The 10190-nt window shown below is 37.7% G+C and overlaps 1 protein-coding gene across 1 annotated transcript; it reads left to right on the forward strand.

The window, feature by feature from the left end:
• On the forward strand, positions 6614 to 9978 carry OR1S1 (olfactory receptor family 1 subfamily S member 1). The gene is made up of 2 exons (NM_001004458.4): positions 6614 to 6731; positions 8623 to 9978. Exon 2 carries the CDS (start codon positions 8678 to 8680, stop codon positions 9614 to 9616), a length of 939 nt encoding a protein of 312 aa, NP_001004458.2. The 5' UTR covers positions 6614 to 6731; positions 8623 to 8677; the 3' UTR covers positions 9617 to 9978.
• The last annotated feature ends 212 nt before the right edge of the window (positions 9979 to 10190 follow it).

The following is a 10190-nucleotide window of genomic DNA, read 5'->3' on the forward strand; positions in this document are numbered from 1 at the left end:
CATTCTACCTTTCCTACCCACCAGTAGTCCTGCATAAACTGTTCTGAGTTCTTAAGGTGGCTGCCTAGCTCGTCAAGACCAATGCTGGATTCTGAAGAGATTCACCTCTGAATGATGGTAAAAATCTCAGAAAGTTACTGGTTTCTAGACCCAGTGGCTTTCCTTATCCTTAGCAGAGTTGCAGGTGGAGACTCAGTAGCTCTTAGGTATTTTTCAGATTAAACTCTTCCTCCAAGCTTCCTTCCAAGATCTTAATAGAATCACGGTGCTGGGCTCACCTGGGACATTCAGGTCCTTCCCATCCCTTTGGGATAATATCCCTCAAGTGTTTTCCTCAAGACACAGTAATTTTTACATCCAAGTCTTGATGAGGTAAATGGGGAACAGACAGACAGCTCTGCTTTTTTTCCCTTGTTTTGTCTTCACATGCTCTTCCCGCTTGTGATTTCCTATCTGTAACTTAGTTGATTATTGCTCTTCACAGGGAGGGAGTTGTTTGCGCTGTCTTCTTCTCCCAGCGAAATGGTCAGCATTTTCAGAGTTCTTTTCTGTGTCTTCTCTAATGCTTAATGGTGGGAAACACTTAGGAAATACCTAGAGAATGGAGTTGAATTTTTTGACTAGAGATTATGAATCCAAAGGGATGTGATCTCTAGTGGATGGAAATAGGATGTGATCTTGGCATCAGTTGAATAAATGTTAGCATTGGAAATTGGAGACCCAGTGATTCAGCATTCAAGGCTCTTAATTGCAAACTAAAGACAAATGCTGGGTTTCTAATTTTGCAAATAAACATATTGAAATGATATGAGTGCTTCACAATACAATGGGAAGGATGGAAAAAGACATCCGGAAATGGACAGAATCAAGAGAGACTGCCCAGCCAGGGACTCAGGCAAAATTAATATATCCCTTCTTCCAATGCTTAGAGGTGACTCACAATATAGTACAATTATTTCTCACCCAAACTAAGAAAGTTGATCCCTTCTTCAATAGGAAAAAACTCAACCTATGGATTAAGTGTATCAATGAATAATATTTAAAATAATGGTGTAATAGAGATGGAAAAAGGCAAGTTATTCTATTTATGCACTAACATACAAAAATCAGTAGCACTTATATATGCTAGTAGTGAATTATCTGTAAAAGAAATAAGGCAAACAATTACATTTACAATAGCTACAAATGAAAAATAACTAGGAATAAACTTAACCAAGGAGGTGAAAGATTTCTACCCTGAAAACTATATAACTTTGATGAAAGAAACTGAGGAAGACACAAATAAATGGGATGATATCTTGTGTTCAAGGATTAGAAGAATGGATATTGTTAAAATAACCATACTATCCAAAGAGATCTACAGGTTTATTACGATCCTTATAAAAATTTCAATGACATTCTTCACAGAAGTAGAAAAAAATCCTAAAATTCATATGGAACCATAAAAAACCCCAAATTGACAAAGCAGTCCTGAACAAAACGAATAAAGCTGAAGGCACCACACTACCTGACTTCAAAATATGCTATAAAGCTGTAGCAACCAAAACAGCGTGGGATAAAACAGATACAGAGATCAGTGAAATAAAATATAAAGTGTGGAAATAAATTCAAGCACCTAAAGTCAATGGATTTTCAATAAAGATGCCAAGAACAACACATTGGGGCAAAGACAATAAATGGTGTTGGTAAAACTGGATATTCACATGGAGAAGAATGACATTAGACTCCTGTCTCTCACCATACACAAACATAAACTTAAAATAGAAGGAAGACATAAGTGTAAAACCATCATCTATGAAACTAACAGAAGAAAACATAGAGAAACACTTTGTAACATTGGGCTGGGCAAAAATTTTTAAAATAAGACCTCAAAATCTCAGGCATTAAAAACAAAAATAGAGAAATGGAGTTAAACTAAAAAAAATTTGCACAGCAAAGAAACTATTAACAAACTGAAGAGATAACCTACAAAATTTCAAAAAGTATTTGCAAACTATGCATCTGACAAGGGGTTATAATATAGACTATATAAGGAACTTAACAGCAAAAAACTAATTAAAAATGGGCAGATCTTAATACACGTTTCTCAAAAGAAAACATGGCCAAACGGATGTATAAAAAATGCTTAACATCATTAATCATCAGATAATTCCAAATCAAAATTATCTTGGGATATCTCCTTACTCTTATTAGAATGGCTATGTGTCAGAAGACAGAAGTAAACAAATGTTAGCGAGGATGTGGAGGAAAGGGTACACATACGCTTACACACTGTTGGTGGAATTGTAAAGTAGTACAGCCACTATGAAAAACAGAATGGGGTTTCCTCAAGAAATTAAAAATAGAACTACCATATGATCCAGCAATCCCACTACTAGGTATATATCCAAAGGAAATGAAATCTGTATGTTTAAAAAGGTCTGCATTCCCATGTTTATTGCCACACTATATACAATAGGCAAGATATAGAATCAACCTAAGTATTTAATAATGCATAAATGGGTAAAGAAAATGTGGTATATATACACAGTGGAATACCATTCAGCCATAAGAAAGAATGAAATTCCGTCATTTGTGACAACATGGATGAACCTGGAGAACATCATGTTAAGTGAAATAGGCCAGACATAGAAAGATATATAGCACATGATCTCACTTATATGTGAAATTCAAAAAAAATTGGCATTATAAAAGCAGAGAGTAGAACAGTTGTTACCAGAGACTGGAGAGGAAATGGGGGAGGGAAGGATAGGGAGAAGTTGGTCAATGGTTACAAAGTTACAATGAGATAGGAGGAATACATTCTAGTGTTCTATTGCACAGTAGGGTGACTCTAGTTAATAGTAAAATATTGTATATTACAAAATGGCTAGAAGAAATGCTTTTGAATGTTCTCATAACAAAGAAATGATAATTGCATGAAGTGATAGATATACTAACTACACTGATTGGATCATTATACAACATAGCTATGTATCAAAACATCATTGTACCCCATAAATATGGACAAATGCAATGTGCCAATTAAAAAATAAATAAAAAAATTTAAAAATAATGTGGTAATAGAGAAGAAAGAGAAGGCAAGTTATTATTTTTACCTATTAATTATCTATCTATATCTGTCACCTATTTATTTATATATCAATCTAGTCACAGCTAGAAAGGAAATATGGGTGGAATTGGAATCCTCATTTCTGCAACTTGTTCATGAGGAATATTTATGATTTCCTTAGTCTATTACTGTTGTAGTCTATTACTGTAGGTTCTTCTAGAAAGCAGAGCCTGAGCTGAGAATTTAAGTTTTGATATTCTGTTTGGAAGGTAAAACCCCAGGAAGATTTAGAGGGGGAGTTGAGGGACTTGAATCCAGAATAAGTGCAAAGGAATGCAATGAAATGCATTTCTGTGTCATTGTTCACAACGAAAGAGTCAGGGAACATTACTTATTAGATATGTTCACTCAGCATGTGGGATTCATATGGAAGGAGAAAGTATACCTGGGAGCAGTCCATGGAGGGGAGAAAGGAAGGTATATTGATTTTCTCTGTTTCTTCTCATCTAATTTCCCATCGACTTTCCTGAACTCCCAGATTGCATTATCTGGCCCATTGATGGCCACATAGGAAGGCAGAAACCATGTTCCTCAATATGGTTATTACTGTTGGTCCAGGAGAGGAGGAAAATTTTGTGTAGAAAGGGTTGGCACATAGGCTCAATGTCAGCGAGCTTGGAAAGAAGTAGCAGAGTTTGGGAGGTGCTTGGTGTCACTAGAAGAAGAGACAGTATAGGGTTTGTATTGAGTACAGTCCATTTCTTGTGTCACTCAGATCTACTCCTGCTCTCCCATTATTCCTAGATTCTGTGGTACAAGATGGTGACTGCTTTCCATGGTGATATGGTTTGGCTTTGTCACCACCCAACTCTCATCTTGAATTGTAACTTCCATAATTCTCACGGGTCGTGGGAAACTTCTCCCCATCCTTCCCTCCCCCATTTCCTCTCCAGTCTCTGGTAACCACTCTTCTACTCTCTGCTTCTATAATGCCAACTTTTTTTTAAAATTCCACATATAAGTGAGATCATGGGCTATATATCTTTCTGTGTCAGGCTTTTTTTACTTAACATAATGTTCCCCAGGTTCATCCATGGTGTCACAAAAGACAGAATTTTATTCTTTCTTATGGCTGAATGGTATTCTACTGTGTATATATACCACATCTTTATCTGTTTATGCATTATTAAATACTTAAGTTGACTCCATATCTTGCCTATTGTATATAGTGCGGCAATAAACATGGGAATGCAGAAATTTCTTTAATGTACAGATTTCATTTCCTTTGGATATATACCTAGTAGTGGGATTGCTGGATCATATGGTAGTTCTATTTTTAATTTCTTGAGGAAACCCCATTCTGTTTTTCATAGTGGCTGTACTATTTTACAATTCCACCAACAGTGTGTAAGCGTATGTATTCCCTTTCCTCCACATCCTTGCTAACACTTGTTTTCTCTTGTCTTCTGAGAAATAGCCATCCTAATAAGCGTGAGGAGATATCCCAAGATAATTTTGATTTGGAATCCTCCAATGATTAATGATGTTGAGCATTTTTTATATATCTGTTAGCCATGTCATCTTTTGAGAAATGTGTATTAAGATCTGCCCATTTTCAATTGGATATTTTTTTGCTGTTAAGTTCCTTATATAGTCTGTATTTTAACCCCTTGAGAGATGCATAGTTTGCAAATATTTTTTGAAATTTTGTAGATTATCTCTTCAATCTGTTAATAGTTTTCCTTGCTGTGCAAAATCTTTTTACTTTGATTTAACCTCATTTGTCTATTTCTGCTTGTAATGCCTGAGCTTTTGAGGTCTAATTTTAAAAATTTTTGCCCAGCCTAATGTTATGAAGTGTTTCTCTTTCTTCTGTTAGTTTCATAGATTATGGTTTTACATTTATGTCTTCCATCTATTTTAGGTTTATGTTTGTGTATGGTGAGAGATAGGAGTCTAGTGTCATTTTTCTGCATGTGAATATCTTGTTTTACCAACACAAGTTATTGTCTTCACCCCAGTGTGTTGTTCTTGGTGTCTTTATTGAAAATCCATTGGCTTTAGGTGGTTGAATTTATTTCTATGCTTTCTATTTTGTTTCACTGCTCTATGTGTCTGTTTTTATGCCAGCCCCATGCTGTTTTGGTTACTATAGCTTTATAGTATATTTTGACGTCAGGTAGTGTGATGCCTTCAGCTTTTTTTCTTTTTGTTCAGGACTGCTTTCTCAATTGGGGGTCTTTTATGGTTCCGTATGAATTTTAGGATTTTTTTCTATTTCTGTGAAGAATGTCATTGGAATTTTTATAAGGATAGTAATAAAAATCTGTAGATCTCTTTGGGTAGTATTGTTATTTTAACAATATCAATTCTTCTAATCCTTGAACACAAGATATCATTCCATATATTTGTGTCTTCTTCAGTTTATTTCATCAAAGTTGTACAGTCTTTTGGAGGAGAAATCTTTCCCTTCCTTGGTTAAGTTTATTCCTAGTTACTTTTTATTTGTAGCTATTGTATATGTAATTGTTTGCCTTATTTCTTTTACAGATAATTCACTACTAGCATATATAAATGTTACTTATTTTTGTATGTTAGTGCATAAATAAATAGAATAACTTGCCTTCTTCCTTCTCTATTACCCCATTATTTTAAATATTATTCATTGATACACTTAATCCATAGGTTGAGTTTTTTCCTATTGAAGAGGGAATCAACATTCTTAGCTTGAGTGAGAAATCAGTGTACTATATTGTGAGGCACCTCTAAGCATTGGAAGAAGGGATATATTAATTTTGCCTGAGTCCCTGACAGGGCAGTCTGTCTTGCTTCTGTCCATTTCTGGATGTCTTTTTCCATCCTTCCCATTGTATTGTGAAGCACTCAATATCATTTCAATATGTTTATTTGCAAAATTAGAAACCCAGCATTTGTCTTTAGTTTGCAATTAAGAGCTCTGAATGCTGAGTCATTGGGCCTCCAACTTTTTTTCCAACACTAACATTCATTTAACCGATGCCAAGGCCATACCCTATCTCCTTCCACTAGATATGACATCCCTTTGGATTCATAATCTCTAGTCAAAAAATTCAACTCCATTCTCTAGGTATTTCCTAAGTGTTTCCCACCATTAAGCATTAGAGAAGACACAGAAAAGAACTCTGAAAATGCTGACCATTTCGCTGGGAGAAGAAGACAGCGCAAACAACTCCCTCCCTGTGAAGAGCAATAATCAACTAAGTTACAGATAGGAAATCACAAGCGGGAAGAGCATGTGAAGACAAAACAAGGGAAAAAAAGCAGAGCTGTCTGTCTATTCCCCATTTACCTCATCAAGACTTGGATGTAAAAATTACTGTGTCTTGAGGAAAACACTTGAGGGGTATTATCCCAAAGGGATGAGAAGGACCTGAATGTCCCAGGTGAGCCCAGCACCGTGATTTTATTAAGATCTTGGAAGGAAGCTTGGAGGAAGAGTTTAATCTGAAAAATACCTAAGAGCTACTGAGTCTCCACCTGCAACTCTGCTAAGGATAAGGAAAGCCACTGGGTCTAGAAACCAGTAACTTTCTGAGATTTTTACCATCATTCAGAGGTGAATCTCTTCAGAATCCAGCATTGGTCTTGACCAGCTAGACAGTCACCTTAAGAATTCAGAACAATTTGTGCAGGACTACTGGTAAGTGGAAAGGTAGAACGGAAAGCAGAGATCAGAGATTGTCACTCAGAAACATACAGTTCCCTCTCTAGTCAAGCCCAAACCAGCCCAGGCCTTGGTAACCACAGGCCGGTCTGTATCTTCAATATAGATGCCTGCCAGTTATTTAGCTCATTTCAGTTTTGTTGTGGATTCTCCCTTCTGCATGTGTTTTCTCTTGTCTCTGATTTGTAAGCCAAGCATTTCAGGAGGAAAGAGACTTCAGATCTCTGCTTCAATCTCTAATGCCTTTCAGTTTTCAGGAATTTCAGAGACGAAGATTGTCTCTTTTCTGGCCTCTGAATGGAAAGAAAATCTTTGAGAGATAAGTGATGTTGGAGATAGGTAGAAGAGAGGGATAAAGTGAGAGGGAGACAAATGTCTCTTTGTTCCCAAGCTGATATTATTTCCAATAAATCACAAGGAAAATCATACTAGGTCCAGTCTCTCTTCCCTTCTCCTGGATGACACCTTGTGAGAGCCGTTTACCTTTCTGGCCACTTAAGGTTTTAAAAATGTTTAACTGATACTGAAGACCCATTTCCAGGTATTAAAAAACCAAGTCCAGCCCAATTTTAAACTTCAGCTTCACTATCAATTCAAAGCATGGGTCCTCCCTTGTGAGCTCAGATCTGATGTGTAGCTTGGGTCATACAGTGGAAAGGTGGGAGCATATGTTCTTCCCTTGCTCTTTGGCCTCTCTTCCCACAAACCCGTTGTTGTTACTATTGTTGTTGTTGTTTTAGTCATTTTGGTCTTTCCTTCTTTTTCAGTTTTATCAGGTCAAGGAGGAAGAACAGGAGTGGGAAAAAAGGCAAAAGTGTTCATATCTGTTGCCATAGATACTAGCAGCTTGTGCCTTATATGTGGCAGGCCTGGTGTCTCTTGAGACCATTTTGGGGTTCGTCAGGGGCTCCCGTTTGGGACTGCCTCATTATGCGGTTCCCTGACAAGGGCAATGAATTATGTCCCTGATCTCTTTAAGATCTCTCTTTCATAAGAGACCCACCTCATGGTTTCTTATTGCTACAGCCTCCTCTGCCCTGATAGGCTGTTTCTGGATTGGAATCTCAACAAGGTGACTTGACTCCAATGACCTCCTATAGCATCACGTGTCCTATGGGAAATTCACATATTTATGCCATGTCATGGGTGAAAATGCAGATTGCCCTACTAACCACCATCTTTTCCCTCTATCCCCACCATCTTTTCTCTTTACCCCTGCCATCGTAGCCTGATCCAGTGAGCCCCTTTAAAAGCAAGAGGCAAACAGAAGTCTTTAAGTGTATGTGTGCCCCCTAAATTTTCTTGAGGCTAATATGTAGCCACAGATGAAGTAAAACCCTGGTTGCTCCTTCTTGTACTCATTCTCCAAAAGCACTTGTTTTGGAGTTCTCCCCCGGCGTTAGTGGGATGAAGCACCAACACAATGGTGTACACTGCCATAGTGATTCCTAACCCTCAGTTGTGTTTACTTCCCCAAACTCTTCACTTTCACGAGACTTGAAATTTCTGTTTTCTTAGATTTAAAGGATAAAGGTGGTTTGGCAACCAGTTTGGTCATTTTTAAGTTAATTCTGCAGGTGTATATAACATGTTTAGAATATAGGGTATGCCTCATCTATGACCCTCAGTTTGCGGGATTTAAACTACATTTAGAACCAACTGGAAAAATCACATTCAGAATCCTGTTAGAGTTTAAAACAGTTTTTTTGAGAAGTTTCGGCCATGTCCTGTCTTTTTCTAAGGCATTTTCCAAATCTCTGCACTGCTGAAATACTTCCTTATTAAGTAGCACTTCCACTTAATAAGCAGAAGAAACTTTATTCAAGTGACTTACTGCAATGGCTGCAGCCAAATGATACCATGTTAGGTTTTCTTGTAGGAATATGAAGACTTTTAGTTCCTTTCTTCAGATCGGCAGAAATATGCATCAAGGAAACCAAACCACCATCACTGAATTCATTCTCCTGGGATTTTTCAAGCAGGATGAGCATCAAAACCTCCTCTTTGTGCTTTTCTTGGGTATGTACCTGGTCACTGTGATTGGGAACGGGCTCATCATTGTGGCTATCAGCTTGGATACGTACCTTCATACCCCCATGTATCTCTTCCTTGCCAATCTATCCTTTGCTGATATTTCCTCCATTTCCAACTCAGTCCCCAAAATGCTGGTGAATATTCAAACCAAGAGTCAATCCATCTCTTATGAGAGCTGCATCACACAGATGTACTTTTCTATTGTGTTTGTCGTCATTGACAATTTGCTCTTGGGGACCATGGCCTATGACCACTTTGTGGCGATCTGCCACCCTCTGAATTATACAATTCTCATGCGGCCCAGGTTCGGCATTTTGCTCACAGTCATCTCATGGTTCCTCAGTAATATTATTGCTCTGACACACACCCTTCTGCTCATTCAATTGCTCTTCTGTAACCACAACACTCTCCCACACTTCTTCTGTGACTTGGCCCCTCTGCTCAAACTGTCCTGTTCAGATACATTGATCAATGAGCTTGTGTTGTTTATTGTGGGTTTATCAGTTATCATCTTCCCCTTTACACTCAGCTTCTTTTCCTATGTCTGCATCATCAGAGCTGTCCTGAGAGTATCTTCCACACAGGGAAAGTGGAAAGCCTTCTCCACTTGTGGCTCTCACCTGACAGTTGTATTACTGTTCTACGGAACCATTGTAGGCGTGTACTTTTTCCCCTCCTCCACTCACCCTGAGGACACTGATAAGATTGGTGCTGTCCTATTCACTGTGGTGACACCCATGATAAACCCCTTCATCTACAGCTTGAGGAATAAGGATATGAAAGGTGCCCTGAGAAAGCTCATCAATAGAAAAATTTCTTCCCTTTGATGCCCTGGACCTCTACATTCTTTTAGTCCACATAATCAGATAAATGATTCAGCCCAGAGCGTATGGCACAGTTGTGATGGTTCAACTTTTGATGAACTTGCAGGTATCTGTCTCCTATTCCAACCTCTGAAGGGGTTGGAGCTTTTCCACTTAGCTCTTGTCTTGGAAACAAAACCTGTAACTGCCATGGTAAGTCACAAGAATAACACGCATCCTTAGAGAGTAGATTGGTGGTTACCAGGGCCCAGGGGTGGGAAGATGGAATGGAGGTGATGAGTTGTTGATTAATGGGTACAACAATACAGTTAGATAGAAGAAATAAGACCTATTGTTTGATAAATCATTAGGGGGACTATAGTAAACCATAATCTATTGTATATTTCAAAATAGCTAAAGGAGAATAATTCTACTGTTCCCAGCATAAAGAAAAGATAAATGTTTGAGGTGATGGATATCCCTATGCCCTAATTTGCTTATTATACATTATATGAGTTTATCAAAATATCACATTACCCAAAAATATGGGGGACAATGTGTCAATAAAAATACATGTATCAATAAATAAAAAATTTAT

The sequence above is a fragment of the Homo sapiens genome, chromosome 11, assembly GCF_000001405.40.
Source record: "Homo sapiens chromosome 11, GRCh38.p14 Primary Assembly".
NCBI lineage: Eukaryota > Metazoa > Chordata > Mammalia > Primates > Hominidae > Homo > Homo sapiens.

Bases quoted from the DNA above. Each gene is read 5' to 3' on its own strand.
- OR1S1 (NM_001004458.4), top strand. From the start codon at position 8,678: ATGCATCAAGGAAACCAAACCACCATCACTGAATTCATTCTCCTGGGA.